Source organism: Homo sapiens, chromosome 19 (genome assembly GCF_000001405.40).
Source record: "Homo sapiens chromosome 19, GRCh38.p14 Primary Assembly".
In the NCBI taxonomy this organism is placed as follows: Eukaryota; Metazoa; Chordata; class Mammalia; order Primates; family Hominidae; genus Homo; species Homo sapiens.
Genome location: NC_000019.10, coordinates 58,466,095 through 58,492,027, shown reverse-complemented (window position 1 = coordinate 58,492,027; position 25,933 = coordinate 58,466,095). Strand labels below are relative to the sequence as shown.

General features: G+C 54.8%; 2 protein-coding genes, 1 long non-coding RNA gene and 2 pseudogenes across 5 annotated transcripts, besides 13 other annotated features; 2 read left to right on the top strand and 3 right to left on the bottom strand.

The window, feature by feature from the left end:
• RN7SL693P (RNA, 7SL, cytoplasmic 693, pseudogene) lies at positions 953-1,231 on the bottom strand (annotated as a pseudogene).
• Positions 1,872-2,166: a silencer, noted in NCBI's record as "tiled region #4347; K562 Repressive DNase matched - State 5:Enh". NCBI's record gives its function as "represses a minimal TATA promoter and a strong SV40 promoter by Sharpr-MPRA in K562 cells {active_cell/tissue: K562}" and the evidence as "EXISTENCE:reporter gene assay evidence [ECO:0000049][PMID:27701403]".
• Positions 2,003-2,062: an enhancer, noted in NCBI's record as "active region_15204". NCBI's record gives its function as "activates an Ori minimal core promoter by ATAC-STARR-seq in GM12878 lymphoblastoid cells {active_cell/tissue: GM12878}" and the evidence as "EXISTENCE:reporter gene assay evidence [ECO:0000049][PMID:35858748]".
• ZNF446 (zinc finger protein 446) lies at positions 2,495-15,676 on the bottom strand. Of its 2 annotated transcripts, NM_017908.4 has the most exons (7): positions 15,524-15,676; positions 14,468-14,849; positions 14,202-14,391; positions 13,847-13,941; positions 12,301-12,385; positions 12,009-12,098; positions 10,798-11,852 (listed from the first exon to the last, which is right to left on the bottom strand). In NM_017908.4, the coding sequence occupies exons 2-7, from the start codon at positions 14,807-14,809 to the stop codon at positions 11,302-11,304; spliced, it is 1,353 nt and encodes a 450-aa protein (NP_060378.1). In that variant the 5' UTR covers positions 14,810-14,849; positions 15,524-15,676; the 3' UTR covers positions 10,798-11,301. The 2 variants fall into 2 exon arrangements, with proteins under 2 accessions (NP_001291382.1, NP_060378.1); NM_001304453.1 differs by lacking the exons at positions 10,798-11,852; positions 15,524-15,676 and adding an exon at positions 2,495-2,738.
• Positions 7,804-10,931, top strand: LOC112268251 (uncharacterized). Its single transcript, XR_007067366.1, has 3 exons — positions 7,804-8,496; positions 9,582-10,613; positions 10,841-10,931. It is a non-coding gene; the product is annotated as an uncharacterized LOC112268251 (long non-coding RNA).
• Positions 8,185-8,279, top strand: RNU6-1337P (RNA, U6 small nuclear 1337, pseudogene; annotated as a pseudogene).
• Positions 15,418-15,617: an enhancer, noted in NCBI's record as "active region_15203". NCBI's record gives its function as "activates an Ori minimal core promoter by ATAC-STARR-seq in GM12878 lymphoblastoid cells {active_cell/tissue: GM12878}" and the evidence as "EXISTENCE:reporter gene assay evidence [ECO:0000049][PMID:35858748]".
• Positions 15,772-16,066: an enhancer, noted in NCBI's record as "tiled region #9894; K562 Activating DNase unmatched - State 1:Tss, and HepG2 Activating DNase matched - State 1:Tss". NCBI's record gives its function as "activates a minimal TATA promoter and a strong SV40 promoter by Sharpr-MPRA in K562 cells, with weaker activation in HepG2 cells {active_cell/tissue: HepG2 | K562}" and the evidence as "EXISTENCE:reporter gene assay evidence [ECO:0000049][PMID:27701403]".
• Positions 15,772-16,137: a biological region, named in NCBI's record as "Sharpr-MPRA regulatory region 9894".
• Positions 15,888-16,137: an enhancer, noted in NCBI's record as "active region_15202". NCBI's record gives its function as "activates an Ori minimal core promoter by ATAC-STARR-seq in GM12878 lymphoblastoid cells {active_cell/tissue: GM12878}" and the evidence as "EXISTENCE:reporter gene assay evidence [ECO:0000049][PMID:35858748]".
• Positions 16,378-16,437: an enhancer, noted in NCBI's record as "active region_15201". NCBI's record gives its function as "activates an Ori minimal core promoter by ATAC-STARR-seq in GM12878 lymphoblastoid cells {active_cell/tissue: GM12878}" and the evidence as "EXISTENCE:reporter gene assay evidence [ECO:0000049][PMID:35858748]".
• Positions 16,498-16,587: an enhancer, noted in NCBI's record as "active region_15200". NCBI's record gives its function as "activates an Ori minimal core promoter by ATAC-STARR-seq in GM12878 lymphoblastoid cells {active_cell/tissue: GM12878}" and the evidence as "EXISTENCE:reporter gene assay evidence [ECO:0000049][PMID:35858748]".
• ZNF324 (zinc finger protein 324) lies at positions 16,592-24,948 on the bottom strand. Of its 2 annotated transcripts, none has more exons than XM_005258713.5 (4): positions 23,841-24,948; positions 22,722-22,848; positions 22,184-22,300; positions 16,592-21,297 (listed from the first exon to the last, which is right to left on the bottom strand). In XM_005258713.5, exons 1-4 carry the CDS (start codon positions 23,847-23,849, stop codon positions 19,874-19,876), a joined length of 1,677 nt encoding a protein of 558 aa, XP_005258770.1. In that variant the 5' UTR covers positions 23,850-24,948; the 3' UTR covers positions 16,592-19,873. The 2 variants fall into 2 exon arrangements, with proteins under 2 accessions (XP_005258770.1, NP_055162.1); NM_014347.3 differs by having other exon boundaries at positions 24,845-24,948.
• Positions 23,448-23,567: an enhancer, noted in NCBI's record as "active region_15199". NCBI's record gives its function as "activates an Ori minimal core promoter by ATAC-STARR-seq in GM12878 lymphoblastoid cells {active_cell/tissue: GM12878}" and the evidence as "EXISTENCE:reporter gene assay evidence [ECO:0000049][PMID:35858748]".
• Positions 23,986-24,600: an enhancer, noted in NCBI's record as "H3K27ac-H3K4me1 hESC enhancer chr19:58978795-58979409 (GRCh37/hg19 assembly coordinates)". NCBI's record gives its function as "activates a minimal SCP1, AML or CMV promoter by ChIP-STARR-seq in primed H9 embryonic stem cells {active_cell/tissue: H9 hESC(primed)}" and the evidence as "EXISTENCE:reporter gene assay evidence [ECO:0000049][PMID:30033119]".
• Positions 24,601-25,217: an enhancer, noted in NCBI's record as "H3K27ac-H3K4me1 hESC enhancer chr19:58978178-58978794 (GRCh37/hg19 assembly coordinates)". NCBI's record gives its function as "activates a minimal SCP1, AML or CMV promoter by ChIP-STARR-seq in primed H9 embryonic stem cells {active_cell/tissue: H9 hESC(primed)}" and the evidence as "EXISTENCE:reporter gene assay evidence [ECO:0000049][PMID:30033119]".
• Positions 24,699-24,828: a silencer, noted in NCBI's record as "silent region_11085". NCBI's record gives its function as "represses an Ori minimal core promoter by ATAC-STARR-seq in GM12878 lymphoblastoid cells {active_cell/tissue: GM12878}" and the evidence as "EXISTENCE:reporter gene assay evidence [ECO:0000049][PMID:35858748]".
• Positions 24,909-24,958: a silencer, noted in NCBI's record as "silent region_11084". NCBI's record gives its function as "represses an Ori minimal core promoter by ATAC-STARR-seq in GM12878 lymphoblastoid cells {active_cell/tissue: GM12878}" and the evidence as "EXISTENCE:reporter gene assay evidence [ECO:0000049][PMID:35858748]".

The following is a 25,933-nucleotide window of genomic DNA, read 5'->3' as shown; positions in this document are numbered from 1 at the left end:
CTGTTTTCTGACATGTCCAGGGAGGGCTGGGCAGAGCCTCATGGGTTAGAGGTGTGGGTCACGTCTCTGCTGTCCATGCTGGGAGTGAGTCATTGACAAGAGGGCCATGGAGAGGGCCTTTTCGGAAGGGCGGTTGGAAGGAACCTTCTGGAAGGGTGGCGTGGTGATCGTAGCCTGAGAGGCTGGATATGAGGAAATAGCAGGTGTGGCAGGAGGGGGATTCTTAGGGCCCATCTGGTGCTGGGGAGTAGGACTGACAGACCTGGTCCAGACAGGCCAGCAGGAAGTCAAGACTGAAGAGAGGGTTCCAGAGACCTGGGGAGGGGTCAAAAAGTGAGATAAGTGGGGCACCCACAGAAGGAGAGATGGTCTTGGAGCTCACAAGCAGCGGCGGGCACCAATGTCTGTGCAGTCATGTTCAGACACTGTTGGTGTTGCCGAGACCACGGAAAACACAAGCCCTGTGTGAAAGTGAACTGACCCCCACACCATGCCCAGTGCCCTTTGGCATCTGCTGTAGTAGGAGGAGGCTGCAGCCTGTGCAAACCCCAGGAAGGGGCTCGATTCTTGCAGATGGCACCAACTACAGAGGAATGGAGCTGGTGATGGACACTGGTAGGCAGGACTTCTCAAGTATGGTTCCAGGTGATAAACGGGGCTGTGTGGATGAACATCTATTAATGTAGACATTATCTATTTTAAGGTGACTTGAAATACTGTTTATTTTATTATTGCAAGATGTGGAAATTTACTTTAAAATAAATGTATGGGGCCGGGAGTGGTGGCTCACGCCTGTAATCCCAACACTTTGGTAAGGTGAGGCAGACAGATCCCTTGAGGCCAGGAGTTTGAGACCAGCCCGGCCAACAGGGCAAAACCCCATCTCTACTAAAAATATAAAAATTAGCCGGGCGTGGTGGCCTGTGCTTGTAATCCCAGCTACTTGGGAGTCTGAGGCAGGAGAATTGCTTGAATCTGGGAGGTGGAAGTCGCGCTGAGCCAAGATCATGCCACTGCACTCCAGCCTGGGCGACACAGCAAGACTCTGTCTCAAAAAAAATAAAAATAGGCATTTCTCTTTTTTTGAGACAGAGTCTTGCTCTGTTGCTCAGGATGGAGTGCAGTGGCATGATCTCAGCTCACTGCAACCTCCACCTCCCAGGTTCAAGCGATTCTCCTGCCTCAGCCTCCTGAGTAGCTGGGATTGCAGGCGTCCACCACCACGCCTGGCTAATTTTTTTATTTTTAGTAGAGATGGGGTTTCACCATGTTGGCCAGGATGGTCTCGATCTCCTGACCTCGTGATCCACCCGCCTCGACCTCCCAAAGTGCTGGGATTACAGGCGTGAGCCACTGCGCTTGGCCTAATTTTTGTATTTTTTTTTTCCAAGATGGAGTCTTGCTCTGTCACGCAGGCTAGGGTGCAGTGGCATGATCTCGGCTCACTGCAACTTCCGCCTCCCGGGTTCAAGCAATTCTCCTGCCTCAGCCTCCCAAGTAGCTGGGATTACAGGCACGTGCCACCATGCCCGGCTAATTTTTGTATTTTTAGCGGAAATGAGTTTTTGCCCTGTTGGCCAGGCTGGTCTCAAATTATAGATCTTGGGTGATCCGACCACCTCGGGTGATCCGACTGCCTCGGCCTTTCAAAGTGCTGGGATTACAGGTGTGAGCCACTATGCCCGCCAAGAGCTCCATGTTTTAAAAGGGATCATGTAGCTAGATCAGCCCCCCCACACCCCCAGATAATCATATAGTCTATTTTAAGTTCAACTATGGGGCCAGGTATGGTGGCTCATGCCTATAATCTGAGAGCTTTGGAAGGCTGAGGCAGGAGGATGACTTGAGGCCAGAAATTTGAGACCATCCTGGACAGCACAGCAAGACTCTGTCTCAAAAAAAAAAAAAAAAAAAAAAGGCGAGGTCTGGTGGCACGTGCCTGTTGTCCTAGCTACTGGGGAGGCTGAAGTGGGAGGGTCACTTGAGCCCAGGAGTTCTAGGTTGCAGGGAGCTATGACTCTACCACTTTGCTCCAGCCTGGGTGACAGAGTGAGATTGTCTCAAGAAAACAAAACTACGGCTGGTGCGGTGGCTCATGCCTGTAATCCCAGCACTTTGAGAGGCCAAGGCCAGGAGTTCAAGACCAGCCTGGCCAACATGGTGAAACCCCACCTCTGCTAAAAATACAAAAATTAGCCAGGCGTGGTGGCGTGGGCCTGTACTCCAGCTTCTTGGGAGGCTGAGGCACAAGAATTGCTTGAACCTGGGAGGCGGAGGTTGCAGTCAGCCGAGATCGCGCCACCACACTCCAGTTTGAGTGACAGCAAGACTGTCAAAAAGAAAAAAGGGCAACCATGCCATGTGACACAATCATATCACAGGATTGGTAGCGTAACTGCCCAGTGGGTTCACCTTTCCTGCTGCCTGGACACAGCTGATTTCTCAAGACGGGGGAATTACAGTAGAGAAAGGGTAATTCACGCAGAGCCAGCTGTGCGGGAGACAAGGGTTTTGTTATCACTCAGATCAGTCTCCCTGAGCATTCAGGGAGCAGAGTTTTTAAGGACAACTTGGTGGGTTGGGGGAAGCCAGTGAGCCAGGAGTGCTGATTGGTCAGGGATGAGATCATACAGAGTCGAAGCTGTCGTCTTGCGCGGAGTCAGTTCCTGGGGGCCACAAGATCAGATGAGCCATTTTATGGATCTGGGTGGGGCCAGCTGATCCATCAAGTGCAGAGTCTGCAAAATATCCCAAGCGCTGATCTTAGGAGCAGTTGAGGGAGGGTCAGAATCTTCTAGCCTCCAGCTGCGTGACTCCTAAACCAGAGTTTCTAATCTTGGGGCTAATGTTAGTCCTACAAAGGCCATCTGGTCCCCAGGCAAGAAGGAGGTCTGCTTTGGGAAAGGGCTGTTATCCTCTGTGTTTTAAACTATAAACCATAAGGTTATGAACTATAAGTTTCTCTCAAAGTTACTTCAGCCTATGCCCAAGAATGAACTAGGACAGCTTAGAGGTTAGAAGCAAGATGGAATTGATTTAGTCAGATCTCTTTCACTGTCTTAGTCATAATTTTGCAAAGGCAGTTTCAGTAGCTCATCATATGCACAGGTCCTGGTATTCATTTCCTCACCAATACCTGCTATTGGCACTTTGTATTTTTTTGTTTTTTTTTTTTTTTTGACGGAGTCTTGCTCTGTCACCCAGGCTGGAGTGCAGTGGCGTGATCTTGGCTCACCGCAAGCTCCACCTCCTGGGTTCACGCCATTCTCCTGCCTCAGCCTCCCAAGTAGCTGGGACTACAGGTGCCTGCTACCAAGCTCGGCTAATTTTTTGTATTTTTAGTAGAGACGGGGTTCCACCATGTTAGCCAGGATGGTCTCAATCTCCTGACCTCATGATCCACCTGCCTCGGCCTCCCAAAGTGCTGGGATTACAGGTGTGAGCCACCGCACCCAGCCTTTTTTTTTTTTTTTTTATCATAGTCATGTTTATGCCTTTTCTTTTAATTGGCAGGGTTTTTAACTTGCTATTTTGAAGGCTGAGAAATCCATCACGTTATATTGATGTGTATCTGGTTTGTTGACAATGCTACGAATACCAACCAGTGCTATGAACAGGGTGTGTGGCCACGAGCAAGGCAGGTGAAGCCCTGTCCTCACAGTGCCATGAACAAGGTGTGTGGCCACGAGCAAGGCAGGTGAAGCCCTGCCCTCACAGTGCCATGAACAGGGTGTGTGGCCACGAGCAAGGCAGGTGAAGCCCTGTCCTCACAGTGCCATGAACAGGGTGTGTGGCCACGAGCAAGGCAGGTGAAGACCTGTCCTCACAGTGCCATGAACAGGGTGTGTGGTCACGGGCAAGGCAGGTGAAGTCCTGCCCTCACAGTGCCATGAACAGGGTGTGTGGTCACGGGCAAGGCAGGTGAAGTCCTGCCCTCACAGTGCCATGAACAGGGTGTGTGGTCACGGGCAAGGCAGGTGAAGTCCTGCCCTCACAGTGCCATGAACAGGGTGTGTGGCCATGAGCAAGGCAGGTGAAGCCCTGTCCTCACAGTGCTGGGGTTTCTCTGATTACTGCTAGGCATGTAATGCTAAGCATATTTTCTTTCTGGTCTATCAGCCTAGTTTCTTCTGATGTGTATTCCTGCCTTATGGCCTTTCTCCATGTTTCTATCATATTTTAGTCCTATTCATATTTATTTGTAGTTAATTTGTTTTTTGAGATAGAGTCTTGCTCTGTTGCCCAGGCTGGAGTACAGTGGCGTGATCTCGGCTCACTGCAACCTCCACCTCCTGGGTTGATGAGATTCTCCTGTCTCAGCCTCCTGAGTAGCTGGGATTACAGGCGCCCACCATCACGGCTGGCTAATTTTTATATTTTTAGTAGAGACGGGGTTTTACCATGTTGGCCAGGCTGGTCTTGAACTCCTGACCTCAAGTGATCCCCCTGCCTCGACCTCCCAAAGTGCTGGGATTACAGGCGTGAGCCACCGCGCCTGGACTTATTTGGAGTTTAAAAATACCTTCTGGGTTTGTCGAGGGTTTTTTTGGTTTATGTTTTCCTCCAATATTTTGCTTATCTTTTATTTATGTTTACAGTGTCTTTTCAGAGATTTAAGTTCGATTTATTAAACTTGCCAGTTGTTTCTTTAGTCGTGAGGCAGAGATGGACAGATTGCTCGAGACTAGGAGTTCCGGGTTGCAGTGACCTATGGTTTCACCACTGCACTGCAGCCTGGGCAACAAATGAGACCCTGTCTCAACAAAACAAAGCAAAACAAAACAAGGGCAACTATGCCATATGACATCATCAAATCACAGGAGTGATAACTCATCAAATTCACAGGTCCTGTTCTGTGCTGCCTAACCAATACTTGTTATTGGCAGGGTTTTAGGGGTCTGTATACTTTTTGTGTTATTATTTAAGAAATCATTTTCGGCCAGGCGCAGTGGCTCACGCCTGTAATCCCAGCACTTTGGGAGGCCGAGGTGGACGGATCACAAGGTCAGACCATCCTGGCTAACACGGTGAAACCCCGTCTCTACTAAAATACAAAAATTAGCTGGGTGTGGTGGCGGGCACCTGTAGTCCCAGCTACTCAGGAGGCTGAGGCAGGAGAATGGCGTGAACCCAGGAGGCGGAGCTTGCAGTGAGCCAAGATCGCACCACTGCACTCTAGCCCGGGCGACAGAGTGAGACTCCGTCTCAAAAAAATAAAAAGAAGAAATCATTTTCAACTCTTGAGGTCATAAAATTTTTACTTTCAGCCTGGGCAACATGGCGAGACCTCATCTCTCCCCGCCCCCCCCCAAAAAAAAAAGCTGGGTGCGGTGGCTCACGCCTGTAATCCCAGCACTTTGGGGAGGCCGAGGTGGGCGGATCACCTGAGGTCAGGAGTTTGAGACCAGCCTGGCCAACATGGTGAAACCCCGCCTCTACTAAAAATACAAAAATTAGCCGGGTGCGGTGGCGGGGGCCTGTAATCCCAGCTACTCGGGAGGCTGAGGCAGGAGAATCGCTTGAACCCAGGAGGCGGAGGTTGCAGTGAGCCGAGATTACCCCATTGCACTCCAGCTTGGGGAATAAGAGCGAGACTTCGTCTCAAAAAACAAACAAACAAAAACTGAAAGTTAGCTGAGTGTGGGCCAGGAATGGTGGGTCATGCCTGCAATCCCAGCACTTTGGGAGGCCGAGGTGGATCACGAGGTCAGGAGATTGAGACCATCCTGGCTAACATGGTGAAACCCCATCTACTAAAAATACAAAAAGTAGCCAGGCGTGGTGGCACGTGCCTGTAGTCTCAGCTATCGGGAGGCTGATGCAGGAGAATCACTTGAACCCATGAGTCGGAGGTTGCAGTGAGCCGAGATCACACCACTGCATTCCAGCCTGGGTGACAGAGTAAGACTCCATCTCAAAAAAAAAAAAAAAAAAAAAAAGAAAGTTAGCTGAGTGTGGTGGCATGTGCCTGTGGTCCCAGCTACTCAGGAGGCTGAGGTGAGAGGACTGCTTGTGCCCAGGAGGTCAAGGCTGCAGTGAGCCATGTTCACACTACACTTCACCCCGGGTGACAGAGCGAGACTCTGTCTCAAAACAAACAAAAACAAAACAAAGTTTTACATTTTCCTGATATTTAAAAATAAATATCAGGCTGGGTGTGGTGGCTCAGCCTGTAATCCCAGCAATTTGAGAAGTAGAGAAGGGAGGATTGCTTGAGGCTAGGAGTTTGACACTAGGCTGAGCAACATATTGAGACCCTGTCTCTACCAAAAAAAAATTTAATAAATCATTAAAAATATCCTAGTATTTAATCTGGAATTTAATTTTGAGTGTGTGTAAAGTGGAAATCTGTTTTCTTTTGTATGGGGGAGTTCAGTTTTCTCCAATATTCAGTGAACATCCACCCTGTCTTCACTGATTGGTTGAGTCATTTCATGTATATCAAGTTCCAAAAGGTCTGTTCCTAGATTGACCTAGTTGTCCACTCCTGTGCCAATACCACAATATTTTATTTTTTTGAGATGGAGTCTCACTCTGTCACCCAGGCTGGAGTGCAGTGGCATGATCTCAGCTCACTGCAATCTCTGCCTTCTGGGTTCAAGTGATTCTCTTGTCTCAGCCTCCCGAGTAGCTGGGATTACAGGCGTGTGCCACTATACCCGGCTAATTTTTTTTTTTTTTTGTATTTTTAGTAGAGACGGGCTTTCACCATGTTGGCCAGGCTAGTCTTGAACTCCAACCTCAGGTGATCCACCCGCCTCGGCCTCCCAAAGTGCTGGGATTATACACATGAGCCACCGTGCCCAGCCACCACACTATTTTAATATTATATAACTTAACAGTGTTTTTATTTACAATATGACAATTCTTCCCTACTTGTCGTTTTTTCCAAATTGTCTTAGCAATTCTTGGACTTTTCCACATGCATTTTAGAATCTTTTTGTTGGATCATATAAAATGTGCTTCTTTTTATTTTTCTGAGACAGGGTCTCACTCTGTTGCTCCGGCTGGCACGATCATGGCTCACTGCAGCCTCTGCCTCCCAAGGCTCAGGTGATCCTCCTGCCTCAGCCTCCCGAGTAGTTGGGACAACAGGCGTGCACCACCACACCTGGCTAATTTTTGTATTTTTACTAGAGATGGAGTTTCACCATGTTGCCCAAGCTGGTCTTGAATTCCTGGGCTCAAGCAATCTCCCTGCCTTGGCCTCCCAAAGTGCTGGAATTACAGGAGTGAACCACTGCACCCGGCTGAAATGTGGTATATTTTATTTGCATTTCATTTACTTTATAGATTAACTTGGGGAAAATTGGCTGATTGGTTTTTAAAATTTTTTAAAAAAAATTTTATCGAAAAAAAGTAGAGACATGGTCTTGCTATGTTGCCCAGGCTGGTCTTGAACTCTTGGGCTCAAGCAGTCCGCCCGCCTTTGCCTCCCAAAGTGCTGGGCTTACAGGTGTGAGCCACCACATGGGGGAAGGGGCCATGAGCTACAGAACAATTTTCCCCCTAGTGTTTACAGAAGGAATGCAGCCCTGCCAACACTTTTTTTTTTTTTTTTTGAGATGGAGTCTCGCCCTGTTGCCCAGGCTGGAGTGCAGTCGTGAGATCTTGGCTCACTGTAGCCTCAACCTCCTGGACTCAAGTGATCCTCCTGCCTCAGCCTTCCAAGTAGCTGGGACTACAGGTGTGCACTACCACACCCAGCTAAAAAAATTTTTTTTAATTGTGTGTTTTTTTTTTTTTTTTTTTTTTTAGAGATGGGGTCTCACTCTGTTGCCCAGGCTGGTCTCAAAGTCTTGGCCTCAAGTGATCCTCCTGCCTCAGCCTCTCAAAGTGCTGGGATTACAGGAGTGAACCACTGTGCCCAGCCATTGCCAACACTCTAGTATTAGCTTGGTGAGATGGTGTCTAACTTCCGGTCTCCAGAATTGTACAATAAGTTTTTGCTGTTTTAAGGCAAAAATAAATCTCATGTTCCCTGTAACTCACCAATCCCATTTTGAGAAATTTATACTACAGAAATAGCCACAGTAGTATCCAAGTGTTTACTCAAGAGAATTAATCATAGCACTGGGTACTGCAGGGTGAGGAGGGAACAAGAAATTCTTTGGTCTTGGTAGAAATGATGGTGCCAGCCAGAAAATAGATTCATCCAGGCATGAAAAGAAAAAAGTTAACTGCTCGCTCACTTCTATAGTACATACACTAAAATTGGAATGATTAGAATGGCCCCTGTGCAAGGGTAAACACAAATTTGTGAAGCATTCCATATGGTGGGGTCATCCCTCTCCTATTGTGAATATTTGCAGTTATTTCATCCATCATCCCTCTCTCTGACCTACCCTTCCGTCTCCCATTTCCGTATTTTTTTTTTCCAGACAGGGTCTCATCCTGTTGCCCAGGCTGGAGTGCAATGGTGTTATCAGAGCTCACTGCAGCCTTAACCTCCTGGGCTCAAGTGATTCTCCCACCTCAGTCTCCCTGGGACTACAGGTATGCGCCACTATGCCTGGCTAATTAGTAGTAGTATTATTTTTGAGACAGGGTCTCGCTTTGTCACCCAGGCTGCAGTGCAGTGGCGCCGTCTTGGCCCACTGCAGCTCTGCCTCCCGGGTTCAAGTGATTCTTATTCCTCAGCCTCCCAAGTAACTGGGACTACAGGTGCATGTCACCATACCTGGCTAATTTTTGTATTTTTTTTAGTACAGTTGAGGTTTCACCATGTTGGCCAGGCTGGTGTCGAACTCCAAGTGGTCCACCTGCCTTGGTCTCCCAAAGTGCTGGGAATATAGGCATGAGCCACCACACCCAGCCTACTATTATTTTTAATTTTTTTTTTTTTTTGGAGACAAGGTCTCACTATGTTGCCCAGATTGGTCTTGAACTCGTGGTCTCCCAAAGTGAAACAACATAAGTTGCCTTAAAAGAAACTTTACATTCAACCACTTCTATATGTAAACTTCTGGAGTAAGCATTGCCATGAGACAGTTGAATTAGGGAACATTTTCATGATCTTCTTTGCCATCTTGTGTATTTCAAATTTTTCTAAGTGAGCATAAATTGCTTCTAAATGTGAAAAAGTTTATTTAAAAACTGCCCTCACCCCCTGCAGCTTTTCTTGCATGATCTGGCCCTTTCACAGCCTTCTATACCCTGACTCTCCCTTCTGGGCTGGGGCCTAGCTGGAGCCCCTGGGTACTGCTCTGTCTTCTTCTTCTCTGTCCCCAGCACAGCTCTCGCCTCCTGCTTGCTCACAGATCACCCACCCCCAGCTCCATCTCCAAACTGGCCCTGCTTCCGGAGCCCTGCACATGGGAGCAACGGGTTAGAAGGCCCTCATAAAAGGGGATGGGGAAGATGGGCCTCTGAGGAGAGCCTCCCTCTCCCAGCTTCAGGCCGCAGCAGGGTTCCTGCCCCTCCCAGGGAGCCCCTCCTGGGGTAACCACAGTCGCAGCTACCCTCAACATCCACCTGCGACTTGTGCACATGCTGCACATACCAGCAGCTGGCGAGGGCTCCTTCCGAGAGGGCACCCATTTCCTGAAACCATCCCCTGTGAAAATGCCCCTTGTTTTCAGAGTAGGAAGGAGAAGAGTGCTGAATCAAGGCCCCCAAGGAGTCCCCATTCCAATCCCCAGAAGCTGTGAACATCTCAATTGGCAAAAGGGACTCTGCGGTGTGACTAAGTGTGCAGGTAGGGGACAAGATATGATGAGGGTCCTTAAGGAGGCCAAAGGATCGATGGGTGTCAGAGAGCTGGCAGCCTAAGGAAGACGTGACCAACCATGGCTGGCTTTGAAGACGGAGGAATGGACCAAGAAAAAAAAAAGGGGGAACGTGGGCTGACTCTAGAAGCTGGAAAAGGCAACAAAATGGATTATTCTCTCCTAGAGCCTTCAAGAGGAACCAGTCCTGTTAAAACCTTGATTTTGGCCGGGCGCGGTGGCTCACGCCTGTAATCCCAGCACTTTGGGAGGCCGAGGTGGGTGGATCACGAGGTCAGGAGATCGAGACCATCCTGGCTAACACGGTGAAACCCCGTCTCTACTAAAAATGCAAAAAAATTAGCCGGGCGTGGTGGCGGGTGTCTGTAGTCCCAGCTACTCAGGAGGTTGAGGCAGGAGAATGGCGTGAACCCGGGAGGCAGAGCTTGCAGTGAGCCGAGATTGTGCCACCGCACTGCAGCCTGGGCAACTGAGCGAGACTCCATCTCAGACAAAACAAAACAAAACAAAACAAAACAAAACCTTGATTTTAGCCCAGTGGGACCCATGTCAGAGTTCTGACCTTCAGAGCTATAAGAGAATCTGTTGTTTCAAGCTGCCAAGTTTGTTAAAGCAGCAACAGAAAACTAATACAGTGCATTGGCGAGTCCCCAGTGACTGCCCAGAGATCCGGTGCTTCCCAGGGAGCTGACCTTTTGCCTTCCTGCTGCATGACCAGCTAACTATGGAGGGTGCGGCCTGACCTAGAAGTACCCATGGCCTTGGCGCAACCCCTGCTTGCAGCCCCTCTTCTCAGAGGTCCCCCTTGTCCAGCCGTACTTCGAAAGGAAATCCCCTTTGTGTCTCTCAAGCCGGGACTGATGAGTTCCAAGGCCAGTGAGGCTGGTGAGTGATGTGGGCGGCAAGGAGCAAGGGAGGCTGGGGACCTGGGACCTGGGTTCTGTGGCAACAGAGGTTTGGCCGTTCTGGGCTCAACTGCCCTGTGCTGCAGCTACTGGGCAGAGACAGCAAACTGCCTATTTCCCGACCAGCAGAAGCCAGAAATCAGGATTCTTATTCAGAAACTCCATATTATGAAAGTGGAATTTATGTTAAAATTCTAACACACACAGGGAGCAGGAGAAACGGAAGCCAACTGTGCTTTCCTGGGTCTTCTGCTGCTCTCCACACTGAGACCTCAGGCCCAGCCTCTGCACAGACGAGTGGGAAGGCACAGTTTTTGAACACCCACCTGAGGCAAGGAGGTCCCAGGAGAGGGAGTGTTGTCAGCCCAGGCCATGTCACAGGGAGGGAGGGAGCCTGGTGCTTGGCAGTCACCCCACAGGCACTGGTCAGCCATAGAAGGGAACCCAGACCTCCCTCTAGGAGGCAGGGGCAAGAAGAGAGAGAGCAGCTCCTTTTCCTTGCACCCAGGTCTTTTGGGGGAGACCAGACCAGGGGCAGGGAACTGGCTTGGGACCCCTTGTTCACTCTGGCATCCCCTGCTGCCTCCAGAGTCTTCTGCTGGTGCCCCAGAGGCTGTATCCAGGCCCCGAGAACACCGAGGCCCCGAGGGACTGTGCTGTCTGGCTGCTCATGGAACCTCCGGCCGGTGGCCCTTGCGGTGGATGACCAGCTGCGACTTCCAGTCGAAGGCGCGGCCACAGTCACTGCAGAAGTGACGCCGCTGGCCTGTGTGGCTCTTGCGGTGGATGACCAGCTGCGACTTCCAGCTGAAGCTGCACCCGCACTCCTCACACGGGTAACTCCGGGGGCCTGTGAGTGAGCGTCGGGGGTGGTGCGGAAAGGCCACCTCCCCTTGTGGTGGCTTCTCTGTGCTTTCCCCGGTGGCTAGCCCCGGGGACTGCACACCTGGCCCACTCGTGTGTGTCCGGTGGTGGATGACGAACACTGACTTCCAGTCGAAGCCGCGGCCACACTGCTCGCACGTGTAGGGCTTCCTGGGGGTGGCAGCCGGCTCCAGTCTCGTCTCTGCAGGTGTGGGCTGAGTGGGCACTGGCGGTGTCCCTGGGCGCACAGTGGGGGCAGGAGTGGCAGCCCCAGACAAGCCCTCCCAGGCTGCCGGCCCTGGGCCCTGGGGCGGCTGGGCCTCTGGGCAGCCAGGTGGACCCTCACTCTCATTTCCTGGGGGCAGGGGCAAACCAGGTGAGTCCCGGCACTCAGCAACCCCTCCCTCAGGCTTGTGGCCGTGGCACAAGCTCCCGTCCCCCCATGAGTGGGTGGCTCAGGTCCCACCGATACAGGAGGGGTGATTCAGGCTGGATGGTGTGGGGCACTCACCCGAGCGCAGGCTTCTGCAGACGCCTGTCCCCGTGAGCAGCATCCCCAGCTCTGACTGGGCCTGTGCCTCTGGCTGGTGGGGCGGTAACCCTGCCCGGGTGGGGGGCACAGTTAGGCATGGGGTTTGCATGAAGGAGGGGTGGGGTCGGTTCTGGTAGGTGACAGGGTGTTCCTCTGGAAGGTGGGAGAGCTGGGTAGGGCTGGTAGCACAGAGGCCCTGCCCAGCTAGGCCTGCTGCAGGGTGGGTGCAGGCCCCAGGGAGAGGGGCGGGGTGGGGCTGGCTGGTCCTCACCCAGGGAGACCACTGTGCCGTACTTCTCCAGCATCGCATCCCAGTACAGTTCCTTCTGTGACCGGTCCAGCAGCCCCCACTCCTCCTGCGGATGTGGCCCATCACTGTAGGCGTCTTTCCACCCCTTCCCTGCCCTGTCTGGTTCACATTCTTACCTATTACCCGGAAGAGTCAGCAGGTTACCTACGCCTCATCTGCCCCTCCTGCTGAGAATGATCTCAAGGTGTGTGTTTGTTAAGTGCAGAGGTTCTCCTTCAGATCACCTGACCAGTGCTGCTGCCAGCACTCATCCCCCTCTACTACACCATCCTGCTCAGAGGGCAGGTTTGGCAGCATCACAGGGACCTGAGTGACTTTATCGAGGAATGAACTCCCTGATTGGGGGTCAGCCCTCCTTGCTGCCTGAGTCCCATCATCTGGGGCTTTGCTGGGTTGGGAAAAATAATCCTGAGGGACAAGCTGTGGCAAGTCCAGGGGCAGGAAGGCGGCAGCTGTGAGGAGCCACAGCTAGAGATGGTGCTGGCTGGAGGTGAGGACACTGGGAAGTGCAGCCTACCCACCCTGCCTCACTTTCTGACTGTGCCATGGGGCTGTGGAGGGAGCCTGGAAGGACTTCTTAGCCTCGAAACACATCTCAACCAGCAATGTTGCTGCTGAAGCTCCCCAGTGGAGTTGTTAGAGGAGCCGGGAGAGGAAAAGACCTTGCTACCCACACTTGGGAACCAAGCGATCCAGGTAGAAGAGGCCTCAAGCTGAGCTTCCAGGCCTAACAGGTGGCCTCTGAAGAAACCCCTAGGAGAGAAGGGACTTCGGGCATTTCCCAGGGAGAGTGTCTCCATCTGGTCTCAGGTGTGGGGGGAGTCCTGCCACAGCTGGTCATCTTCTCCCCTCCCCAGCTACACACAAAAGTTCAAATCCCCAGGTCTGGCTCAGGACCTCTGGGAGCAGCAAACCTCCCAGCTGACTTCTCTGGAGGTGAGGAAGCCAAGCCCACTAGTTCCAGCCACTCTAAACTGGGTTTCCATGGCTTGAGGCCCAAATCCTTTTTTTTTTTTTTGTTTTTGACACACAATTTTGCTCTTGTTGACCAGGCTGGAGCGCAGTGGCACAATCTCGGCTCACTGCATCCTCTGCCTCCTGGGTTCAAGCAATTGTCCTGCCTCACCCTCCCTAGTAGCTGGGATTACAGGCGCCTGCCACCACTTCTGGCTAATTTTTGTATCTTTAGTAGATACAGGGTTTCACCACATTGGTCAGGCTGGTCTCGAGCTCCTGACCTCAGGTGATCCGCTCACCTCAGCCTCCCAAAGTGCTAGGATTACAGGTGTAAGCCACCATGTCCAGCCCCAAATCCTTTTCAATAATAGATCACCAGTCTGTCCCTCTGCCCCAGGTCCTGTGGAGGGGTACAGCTTTTACAGACTCCACTTCTGGGAAGCAAAGAGCCACTAGTCAAGGAGCCTGGAAAACCACCAGGCAGAGGGCAGCCATGGGGACAGTCCCTTCTCACACCTGGGGCCTATACTTCCCACTTGGGGCTGCTCACCTGAATCCTGGGTGGGTGGAAGGATGTGGAGGCTGGTTCTTGGTGTCCATGGTTCCCCTCAGGGGACTGTGCTGCAAGTGGAGGGCTGGAGGGTGCTGAAAAGTGGGGCAGATGGAAGGGTGGTGTCAGGGGCTGCCCACATGAGCCATGGCAGATGAGGAGCTCCTCTGCTGTGTGACATGGCACGTAGCCAGCCCTTGGCTCCTGCCTCCCAGGTCCCCATCCCAGACAGGGACATCCACATTCACTTCAGGAGTCCCAGCCTTGACACACCTCTCCTGGGACTCCCACCCTAGCCAGGAATGTCCACACTTCCTCCAGGAGTCCCTCATCTCTGGTGGGACCCCAACCTCACCCACTTCCTGTCCATCGACATTGGGCTCCTCCTTCACACTGCAGCTGAGCTGGACAGACCCCTCTATTCTGGTGTCCTGGGGACCTTCCCCAGGGGACTCCACTGTCCCTGAGGGGTGGGGGCTCCCAAGTGGTTCCTCTGTCTTCTGGGCTGCAGGGAGCACCTCCTGCTTCAGGACATGGGCTGTGATCTGAGGAGAAGAGGTAGGTCACAATGGCTCTAGCCAGGGTCTATCCCTCCAAGAAGCTGATGCCAGCCACACTCACCCAGCCCAACAGTTGCCCAGGGTCATGCTGCAGTCCTTCGACTAGGGCAGCGGCCTCCTCAGGACTGCCTGGCCGCTGACCGCGCACCCAGGCCTGGATCTCGGGAGGCAGTGTGCCCAGGAACTGCTCCAGCACCAGCATCTCCAGCATCTGCTCCTTGGAGTGTGCCTCAGGCTGCAGCCACTGGCAACACAGCTCACGCAGCCGGGCCAGGGCTTCTCGGGGACCTGCCACCTCCTGGTAGCAGAACCCTCGGAAGCGGAGGCGGGCAGTCTCAGGCTCCTCAAGGGTGGTCTCTGGGTCCATGACGGGCAGGCATGGGGGACCCAGAGGGGATGGCATTCTTGCTCAAGGGGGTGGTCTTGGAATCGTCAAGATGGGCCTACAGAAAAGGAAGGGTCGGAATGTCAGCCAAGAGAATCTGGCCAGGGGAAGGCAGACACCAGGCTCAGCCCAGGGGGCTGAGACCAGGACCAAGTGTACTCTGAGGCCAGAAGAGATAAGGCCAAGAAAGCTTCATGGAAGGAGGAGGGTCACAGGACCCAAACAATGATGGCAAATGAGAGCAGGAGGAAGCCTCAGGGACAAATGCTTGGACGCAAGGTGTCCAGGGAGCTTCCTGGAAATTGCAAACAGTTGGGTCCAGCAGGGGACTGCTGGGAGATGACGCTAAAGAGGTGGAGAAAGACAGTCATCACAGAGTTCCAGCGCCAGGCTGAGGAGCCACAGTGTCTAGCCGAGGTGCGAGGAGAGTGGACCAGGGTGGGCGGGTAGAAGGTGGGGCCAGGCTGTAATGTACGGGGACGAGTCGCCCTCCACAATCTCGGGGAGGTTGACTGGGTGGGACCTCCTTTAGGAATGGCTCTGGGGAGGGGGCACGTGGACATCGTGCTCGCTGACCACAGCGAGCCGTGGGCGACTCACACTGCCGGGGCCCGTGCATGTGAAAACGAAAAGCAAAGGCCAAGAAAAACGGGGCCAAAGCTCCACGTTGCGCGGAGTCGAGGGATGGCCACAGCATCCCGGCCCTGAAGGTCTGCAGTGAAAGACGCCCACCTGGACGGGCCTGAGAGACCAGGCCTGACACCCGGCCTATCCGAGGGATGCTCGAACTTCGGGATCTGTCCCCAAAAGGGGAAGGCAAGAGGGAGGCGTTCCAAGAGGACTTGCCAGGCCCGGCCCCCCGGAACGGCGTTGAGGGTAGGAAAGGCCTGAGCGAAGGCTGAGGTGACGCGCGCGGCCTGTCGGGAAGTGGGCGGGCCCTCCAGGGCGCCGACAGCAGGAGCCGTTCAGGCCCCAGAGGGCGACCCCAAGCCCTCCCACGGGGTGGAAAGGCTGCGCCCACTCTGGCAGCCTGCGCTCACCTCAACCCGGAGCGGTTGCTTGGAGGCCGCTTCCCGGATGTGGCGCCGCACAACGCGGGGCGCCTCAGCCGGGTGTTGCCCCGGCGACGCCGCGCTGACCAATCTCTCGCCTGCACCGAAGGCACCGCCCATGCCCTTTGAACTACATTTCCCATGAGCATCAGCAAGACAGGCGCGACCGTGACCCGCTGACCCGCATTTGCAGCAGCCTCTGACGCCTGAGAGGCGCTCTGTTCCTCTAGGAGGTACGGCAGAGTCCCAGGGTTATATGGTCTCCCTCCGCTCTGAGAGCAGCTCTTCCCGGGTTATAAACTTGCGCGTCTGTACAGTGGGCCGGTTTCTATTGGCAGGTGAGGGGAGGGGGTTTTGCCCAATCAGAGGTGGCGCTTGCTTGGCCCCGCCGCCCCCACGCCATTCCCCGGGCCAGCCCCTAGATAACGCTAGGGCATATCCGCCCGCCTCCAGCTGTTCCCGTGGCAACGTTCAGGAGCGTTGCCTCGACTTCCGAAGAGGCTGGAAGTGGCGGCCCAGTGGTTTCCTAGGTCGAGTAGTTCGCTGGGACTCGCTTCCAAGTGGACCCGGGAGAGGCGGTGGTGTAGAAGACCACCCTGAGCCTGGGCTTTCTCCCGCCAGGAGGGTGCGAGGGCCATCTTTGACCTCTGTTAAGCGCCCTAAGGAGGTACCGACGGTTGTGACCGCAGTCTCTGACGTCTTCAGATGTCAGTCCTACAAAGTCGGGGGTGGAGGTTTCCCTCCAGGCTGATCGGACATGCTCAACCGTTTATTTACCTTTGAATTTGGGGAGCAGAACTAGCCAGGGTGACACTAGTTTCTCCCAATAAGCAGTGTTACAGTTTTCTAAATCTGTGGGGTCAGTTTTGCTTCCACACTTAAAAGTGGCCGAGCCATTACTTAGTCAGTCCTAAATTACACCGCCTGTTTTGGTTTCTTTGGATACCTGGGAATCCCTGCTGCCTGCTCTGGATGAAGAGCAGTGGTCTTGATCACCGATTGGAAGCACCGAGCATGTGCGTGGATGAGACTTGTCAACTCGGAGCTTTCCAACGGCCTCCTCAGGTTGTTTTTGGGGATGAGGTGCTTAGGCCTTTTCTCTGGGACTATGCAGAGTCCCAGAAGGAAAAAAAAACAAAAACTTTCACCCTCCACCATGTGGGGAGAGCACTGGGGCGTTAAGGGCTTCTTCAGTAGTTGTTCCCCAGGCAGCTTTGATATAGGTCTCCCGTCTCTGGGCTGCTGGTTCTCAGCCTTCTGCGGTTCTGGAGTCAGCCTGGTGGGAACTCTCTCCTCTTCGCCAAGTCGCCACGTAGTATTTTGCCTTCCCTAACTTAGTGACAGCTCTCACCCACTTCTAGCTTAGGAATGCCATTGCTCCTGACTCCTCTGTCACCATCCTCATACTTGTGGGTTATGTGTTTTAAATACTCCCCTCTGTGGTTTCAGTGGATTTCTGAGCCCAGTGAGATGCATGTGTTCAGTCTGACCTTTTGACATAGAAGCCCAGGGATACTTTTACAGTCACTACCTATTCAAAATTAAGAGCAGAGGGGGAGGTTGGAGGGAGGTCAGCCGAGGGGCCAAGACCTGCATGGAGGTGGGAGCCTAGGTTGGGGGCCACTGATCAGTCATGGGTTTGGGGAGGGGAAGATTGGAGGAGGGTGGACAAACTGAGGGACAACAGGGGCACAAGCAGACGTGGAAAGGAACTTGATGGAGGGAGGCGGCTGGTGGGAAGACAAGGTAGGGTACTGAGCCCAGCCTAAGGGGTCAGGCGGGCTCAGGGCAGAAACTTCGCTCAAGAAGCGTCTGTCAGAGGCATAGAAATGATTTCACGTGACTCTCTGGGTATCTACTTGTTTGACAGATGCTTTTGCTCCTGACTCCCATGGGCTCCCCAGAAAAGTGCTCTTTCAGGCAGGGAAGGGTTATTGTCTGCATTTCACAGCTCTGCAGACTTACTGGGGGACAATGGTTCAGGGACCTACTGGGATTCTGGTGGCCCAAGTCTTGCAGGCTCCAGGGGAGCTAGGTTCTGTGTGTCTCCACTCCCTGCAGGAACCTGTGAGGTTTCACAGGTGGAAGAGTCTGGCCCCAATATCAAGTGTGTGGGGCCTGGATCTGGGCTCTTTGTGTATAGGGCAGGATAGCTGCAGGATTTTGGAAGCCATGGGATGGAGTGCCCACTGGTTGGAGTCAACCTTGCAGGGTCATCACACATGGCCACACCCTCTATCTCAGCAGCAGAAGGAACACAGCCCTGCCTTGGTTTCTCCACCTACCATCCTCCCATTGCCAGGATCCACCAGGACTCATCTAGCAGGGCTGCTGCTCCAGACAGCCCCACTCTATCCCAGTTCATCCAGCTCCTGGCTACCCCAACCCACCTCTGACCCTGAAAAGGATACAGGTATCCCACTCCCTCCCTGGGCTGCAGACAGGCTGTATCTCTACTCTGTGGCCTCTTGAGGGTACCCAGGTTGAAGCCAAGTCCAGGAACTTCTGTGATGATGACAAACGCTGATGGCATGTCAGGGTATGTTCAATACCATCTGCATTGTATGAGGGTGAAATAGGTGTCAGGTTGCTACCGTTCACACAAATGTTTAAAAAGAAACCTTTATCAGAGAAGCTCTTGAACTGCTATTAAGACTGAACCATGCTCTGGAGTAGGGACAAGAGGCTGTGCTCTGGAGGTCCAAACTGCTGTACAGGAAACTGCAACACCTACTCTGAGTTGCAGATGGTAGTCTTTTTTTTTTTTTTTCCATTAAGGAGAACATGAATTTCCTTGGAGGTGAGGCTCCAGGTAGGGACAGGGCCTGGTCTGCTGAAGGCCACAGGAAGCAAATGGCCCCCAGTCCACCTTTCTGTCCCTGCCATGAAGGGCCATTACACTGGGGTGGGGAGGTCCTCAGGAGGGTGTCACACATAGCCTTAGGCAATAGCAAGTCTTTCCTATTCAGCTCTGTCCAGCCTCCAATTGAGGAGGGATAATGGGGGTGAGACAGGGTTGGGGGTGAAGTGGCCACCAAACCCGGCAAAAGTGAGCAGCTCCATCTTGTCTGAAGTTAACATCATCCCCTCAGGTATAAAGCCTCCTCCTCACATCGACTTTGGTAAACCAGTCAGTGACAGGCCTTGGCCAAGCTGAGACTTGGGCAAAAACCTGAACGAGTGCCACCGGAAAGCCATCATCCTAGCTCTGTCCTTCCAATGCTGAGAGTCACATGTTCCCCCATGGGCATCCCTCTCCTGAGTCGGCTATGTGTGTGAAGCCAGGCCAGGCCGTGTGCCTCAGTTTCCTCATCTTCCAAGTCGGGATACCAGCCACAGAGCCATCTCACAGGGCTTCAGGAGAAACTTCCCAGTACTCAGGACAGGAGCTGGCAGTGAGCATGTGTTGGCTCTCATTAGGACCCCACCTGTCAGCGTCTACAAACATGATGTTCAGTGGACCCAAACCTTTTCTCTTTCCCAGAGGTGGCGGCTGACAGAGCCCAGACCCTGATCCCCAGTCCCTTGTGGTCTCTTGTCTGCTAGGCTGGCCCCTAGGAAGTCTTGGATGAACAGAGGCAGTGGGTTGAGGGGAGAATACCCTCAGCGGGCATCTCTCCAGCGGCCAGTTTGTGTACAGCTGTCATAAGTTTCTCTGGGCCACCCCCAACCCATGCCTGCATCCCTCTCACCTTAGCATCCACTGTCATATCACATGAAGCCGCACCACAGTGCAGTGCTGTGACTGTCGGCCTCCTACTGGCTCTGAATAGTCTCGGCCCCACTAGAGTTCAGCCACCACGTCCTCCCCCTGATGTTGCTGCAGTGCTACCTCTTTGGGGATGGAGGTGTGATCTGTGGGTGAACTGGCAAATCCTGTCCCCACGTGCAAATGAAATCACAGCCAAAGGGCCTCCCTTGTCCCTGACTAGCAAGCACGGGACTTTTTCTCTGCTGTGGATCTGCAGAGGACATATGCCCTTTAGCTGTGGAAGGGATTCACAGAAGGCCAGGGCTGCAACCTGTGACCTCAGACCTCCGCTGGCTGCGAGACGGCGGCTGGGCCCGAGGCGGGAGTGGGCTCGGTTTCCTTCGCTGGCGCACCTTCTGATGATGCCCCGGCAACAGACCTGGCCTGGGGGTGCAGGCTGGCCCTGGATCGCCGGACGGTCTTCTCGCCGGTATGGATCCTCTGGTGGTGGAAGAGGGCCGGGCGCTCACGGAAGGCGCGGCCACACTGCGTACACACGAAGGGCTTCTCGCCCGTGTGAATGCGCCGGTGGCTGAGCAGCACGGCGCCCTTGGCGAAGGCCTTGCCACAGTCCACGCAGCGGAAGGGCCGCTCGCCCGTGTGCAGGAGCTGGTGCTGGGTGAGGTTGGAGCTGTGGCTAAAGGCGCGGCCGCACTGTGGGCAGGCGAAGGGCTTCTCGCCTGTGTGCACGCGCTGGTGCTTAAAGAGCGAGGAGCCCTGGCTGAAGGCAGCACCGCAGAGCGCGCACACGAAGGGCTTCTCGCCTGTGTGCGTACGCTCGTGCTGGATCAGGTGCGAGTTGCGGCAGAAGCGGCGGCCACACTGTGCGCAAGCATAAGGACGCCCACCCGCGTGGATCTTGCGGTGCTGGCTGAGGTTGGAGCCGTGGCTGAAGGCCTTGCCGCACTCGGAGCAGCGGAAGGACTTCTCGGCCGTGTGGATGCGCTGGTGCCGCACCAGCGAGGAGCTATGCCGGAAGGCCTTGCCGCACACGGGGCACGCGTAGGGCGTCTCGCCGCTGTGGATGCGCTGGTGCTGCGTCAAGTGCGACGTCTGGCTGAAGGCCTTGCCGCACTGGGCGCACTCGTAGGGCCGCTCCCCGGTGTGGGTGCGTAGGTGCTTGAGGAGGTCGGAGCTCTTCACGAACACTTTGCTGCACGCCCTGCATTCGAAGGACTTCTCCCCAGCGTGAAGAGCCTCGCCCAGCTCGTCCCAGGTCGAGGGCTCCTGGCCACCGAGGAGTCTATGAGGCTCCTGCCAAACTGCACCCATTCGGTGATGTCCCCGACCGCCGGCAGCCTCCAGGTCCTGGGCGCTCCCAAAGGTTCTCCCAGGGACCTCCTGTGCACATGGTTTCTGCCGCTCAGGCGTCCTGGGCTGCCTCCCCAGCAACGCATGCTCTGTGAGTGTCTTTTCTCTAAGCCGGACGCCCTCGGGAGGCCTAAGCGGGGAGGTCAGTCGCAGGCTGACGCTGGCTTGCCCACTGCCTGAGCCTAGCAGGAGCCTCTCCCAGTAGATCACCGACACCCCCGTGGGTTTTCTCTCCCGAGATGGGGAGGCACCCCGTTGTCTCTGCAGGCTTTTTACACTGTGGCAGGCACCGGCAACAGGGAAGACGCTAGTAGTCATCCCAGGTGGGGTATCTGGGAAAGCTCGTGGCCATTCTCCAGAAACATCTCTATCCTCTGTCAAACTCCAGGAACCTAAAGGCAGAGAAACAGTGGTTGCCTGGGGCATCCTGGTTAGGAGAGGACCAGGGCAGGCTGAGTGGACAGGCAAGAAGGAACCCCGGAGCTGGCACAAAAGCTTAGGGGAAAAGTAGAGGTGAGGCTGGCCCTGCAGGAGGGGCTGGGGTTTGGAGGAACAATCTGCCCTGATAGGTATGGCACTGACTACACTGGGCACTCCCATGATCAAGGTGGCAGCCCCCCGACACCCAGGATGTGAAGCTGAGGAAAACTAGCGGCTGCTGTATGCTGCATACATCTCCACACTGGCTATTCCACCCACACTCTTTCCATTGCTTACCCCCTTCCCCCCGCCCCTGTCCCCCTTCTCAGGCACCCACTCCCCAACCTGCTCCTGCAATGACCTCCATCCAGTGCTCTAGACTATACTCCTGAATCCTGCTTACCGACTGCCTCTCCCACCACACCATGAGCCCCAGAAAAGCAGGACCAGGGTCGTCCTGATTGAGGCTGTGTCTACATTGCCTGGACTGGGCCTGACCACTGTGAGCACTCAGGAAATGTTTGCTGAACACAAAGATGAAGGGTGAAAAAAATGACCCATCAATTATGGCAGTGACTAGCCATGGAGGGTTTGAGGCCAGCCCAGCTGATAGCAGGACTCTGAGATGGTCTCACCATAGCCTGAGTGCCCTTCTGTGTCAACCCCGCTCCTGTGCCCTTGGAGCTCCACCTTCAAGGGCAGCTAAGGCTGCAGCCTCCAGGAGGGGCTGATGATGGAAGGGAAGGGAATCGGGTGGGAGGGAGGGGAGGAGGGTGCTTCTGGGGAGTCTGGGAACCAGGGACAGAGGCATGACCACAGGTTGGTCCTGAATTCACCCCACCCTGAGCTCCCTCTCACCAGGGTTGCGCCTCCTGTAGGTGGTCCTGGACAGGGTTGTGTCCGTTCCACTGGGAACCCAGGGCTCCTCGCCACGCTCCAGTTGGATGACCACACGAGGTCGAGAGGTGGAGAGTCCTGTGAGGAGGAGGTGCAGGTTAGAGTCCAGCCCCAGCTCAAGATAACCCACCTCCAAACAGAGGGCAGGAGTCAGGGCTTCACGGAAACAGAAAATGTCATCTGTGCAACTGCAGAATCTAAAGATGGCACAGGGCAAGGGGCTCACAGGAATAGCTCATTCATCCCCAGGGCAGCAACTGTGCCCAGGGCACCAAAGGAAGGGGACTGAGCCAAGGCTCGGAGAGGCCACAGCCGGACAGCGCCACAGGGAGTGGTTGAGCCAACCAGACTGCATGTCTATAGGACCAGACCCCTATTCCACATGGCTCCTGGCTGCAAGGTATAGGCCTGCTCGTCAGCCACCAGGGAGGTGAGGGGGCAGCCCTGGCCAGTCAGCTTGTTATCAGTTGCCCATTTCATGGAGTATCTAGGACCTTACCCAGCGAGGCCACAAGTGCGAAGTTGTCTAGCATCACGCGGCGGTACAGGGCCCTCTGGGCTGTGTCCAGGAGCCCCCACTCCTCCTGGGAGAAGTACACAGCCACATCCTCAAAGGCCATCTGGTCCTAAAAGAGCAGGGAGGAAGAGACAGCCATGGTCTAAGGCTGGGTTATCCAATCTTTTGGCTTCCCTGGGCCACATTGGAAGAAGAATTGTCTTGGGCAACACATAAAATACATTAACACTAATAACAGCTGATGAGCTAAAAAAAATAAAAATTGCATAAACATCTCATGTTTTAAGAAAGTTCACGAACTTGTTTTGGGCTGCATTCAAAGCCATCCTGGGCAGTGGGTTGGACAAGCTTAGTTTAAGGTATGGCTGTGAGCCAGGACCAAGCTCCCCATCCCAACAGCCACCTTCCATGATGTCCCTCAGACACTCACCCTCCTTCCCTGGGTTCTGCCCCCACCATCTTCAGATGGCACTTCCCTCACATGTCTGGGACCCCTCCCCTCTGCCCTCCCTGACCAGACCCCAGATGCCTTCTTGGCCTCCCCACTGGCAACGCCATACACAAGCAAGCTAGAACAAGTCCTGGCTGGGCCCTCAGCTGCCACACCAAGAGCAGCCCCAGGTGTCCACTCGTGACTCAGCATGACCACTCATGACCCTCCCCAGATGCACCCTTCCTGCTCTTGTAGCAAGAAACTGTGAGTCCCAGCAGGGGCTTCCCAGGCATACCCATCACTGGGACCCTCCCCTGCTGAGCCTGCTTGCCTGACATTTCCAGGCTGCTCATCCAGCCTGAGGGACTGGATGATTCTCACCAGTCGCCACAGGGGAGCAGCCTCAACAACCTGTGAACACAGAGGAACTCAATCCCTTCCTCCTTTCACCCGGTGTCCCCTTTCTTCCCCTCTCTGTTGCCACCCTCCCCTCCTCAGTTAGGTGCTAGGCTCTTCCCAATAGCCCCAGGCATCCCAGCTGGTCTTCTTTACCCTCAAGCCATAACTGCCCACACCTGGCTGAGTCCCTGCCCATTCCTCAGTCCAATTCATAGGCCCTGTCCACAGCCCAGGACGCCAACAACGTCAGGTCCAGTGACATGACCAACCTGGGACATCCCAGACTCTTGATCTTTCCCCTGAAGGAAACCTGCTTTCCTTTCAATTCTCCTTTCTATCTACAGCAGCTCTCTTCTTCCAGGCGCTCAGGCTGAACAACATGGGGTACTTAGTTCTTCAAACAGCCCACACCTGATGCATCCGCAGATCCACCAGAATTCACCTGGTCGCCCACCTCCACTGCTGCCCAGACTGTGGCAGTCGGTTCTTCCCTTCATGCCGACACCCCTGCATGTCTGTTCTCCACGCAACAAACGGTGGAACCGTTTTAAAGTCCTCAGAGGATGTCCTGATTCTGTTCAAAACTTCTATGTCTCCCGACGCCCTCGAGATAAAGCCCACTCCCTCGCCTGATACTGCAGCCGCACACATCCCCTCTACTCCAGCTCCACATCGAGAGAGCTCAGTCCCAGAAGCACCTGGGCTTCGGCTCCCCTCCCAGGTTTTGCACACGCAGGACTCTCCCCTCGGAGCCTCCTTCGGGACCTCAGCCCCCTGGCTGCCCGAACTCGGGAGCTCACCAGTGCCCTGGACGCAGGAGTTTGCACTGACCCCCGCAACCCCCCCAGGGCAGGGAGAGGAAAGACGACTAGGCGAGGTCTAGGAAGCGGCCTCCCTCCGTGAGGGCGCGGTCTGTGTGAGCAGGGACTCCCCTGCTTCCCCGACGCGGGCTTGTCAGCGCCACCGCCGCCAGCGGAACCCGCAGCTGGGAGGGAAGAAAGGCGTGGACCACCCAGCCTTTCCCCGCCAGCAGCGTCCCGGGGCCGCCCCGCGCCTCAGTCTCCCCGGCCATCATGGACGTGGAACGCCCAGCGCGCAGCCTCCTGGGCTGCCGCACGGTGGGAGAGCGCATGGCTCCCGCCGCGGCCCGACAGTCCCCTGGACGCCCACGACGCACTCTGAGAAACAGAGGCTTGGGGGCGCGGCCGGCGGCCGGCGCCCTTGATCACGACGCGTGCGCAGGGCGGGCCCGACGCGGGCCCTCAGCCAGTACCTTCCTCGCCGCCAGCCTCGAGCACCAGGAACCCCCTGGAAACCGGACCCGACCCGCGGTCCCCAGCCCAGACCACCGGTGTGGCCTGACGCGGGCGGCGAAGTGACAGTCCCACCGCCGGAAGTCCAGCCCTTCGGTTCTCATTGGCCCAGTGCGCGCCGCGGACGCTTGCGTACAGCCTTCCGGGTCACGTGGTTCCCGCCTGTTTCCCTGCGTGGAGGCGGGGCCACTACCGGTCTCCTTGGCAACGTCCAAGCCCCTGCCGCGCGGGGCGCTGGGAAATGGAGTCGCGCGGCGGCCTCGGGTTTTCAAGGGCTTGGTGGCGCTGGTGGATTCGCCCGGTGTGTAGTCCTGCCTTCGGCATTCCAGGTGTCCTCCCAAGCAGTCCCGGAGACTAAACCCTGCAGGTGCGAAAGCAGAAACTGCCGAGGTTCCAAGAGGCAACACCAGCAGTGAGCACGGAGGAGAAAATGCACCGGGTAGCGCAGGTGGAGGTGGAGGAGCCGATGCCTGGAGCTCCGGGTTCCCTTCCCAGCTCTGCCTCTCACTGACTGTGCGTCCTGGGCGCGGGTTTGACCTCTCTGTGTCAATGTCCCGTAAAGGTTTAAGGTCCGTTTTCAACCTTTACACCAAGAATTCTCAGCCCGTAAGCCTACATTTGTCTTAAGTATGAGACTGTTCCTCGACACTTGCCCAAAGCATCTGTTTTCCTTGTAATTTGGATGGGCAGAAGTTAATTCCCCAGATTTGCTTGTCCTTAGACCATCTAGATCTTGTCTTGCCCCACACATCACAATATTCATTCTTTTTTCCTTTTTTCTTGGGACTCATTTAAGTTTTTTTTTTTTTTTTTTAACAGGGTCTTTGTTCTGTTGCCCGTGCTGGAGTGCAGTGGCACAATCTCGGCTCACTGCAACCTCTGCCTTCAGGTTCAAGTGATCCCCCCGCCTCAGCCTCCGTAGTAGCTGGGACCACAGGTGTGCGCCACCATGCCTGGCTAATTTTTGTATTTTTTAGTAGAGATGGAGTTTCACCATGTTGGCCAGGCTGGTCTTGAACTCCTGACCTCAGGTGATCCGCCCACCTCGT

Bases quoted from the DNA above. Each gene is read 5' to 3' on its own strand.
- ZNF446 (NM_017908.4), bottom strand. From the start codon at position 14,809: ATGCCATCCCCTCTGGGTCCCCCATGCCTGCCCGTCATGGACCCAGAG. The intron at 12,099-12,300 runs GTGAGGACCAGC...CCACCCGGGCAG, and splicing joins CGGCACAGTGGTCTCCCTGG to GGTTACCGCCCCACCAGCCA. The intron at 11,853-12,008 runs GTGAGTGCCCCA...CCCTGCCCCCAG, and splicing joins CTGCAGAAGCCTGCGCTCGG to GAAATGAGAGTGAGGGTCCA.
- ZNF324 (XM_005258713.5), bottom strand. The intron at 22,301-22,721 runs GTAAGGTCCTAG...TCCTCCTCACAG, and splicing joins CGCACTTGTGGCCTCGCTGG to GACTCTCCACCTCTCGACCT. The intron at 21,298-22,183 runs GTGAGAGGGAGC...CTCTGCCTTTAG, and splicing joins CTACAGGAGGCGCAACCCTG to GTTCCTGGAGTTTGACAGAG.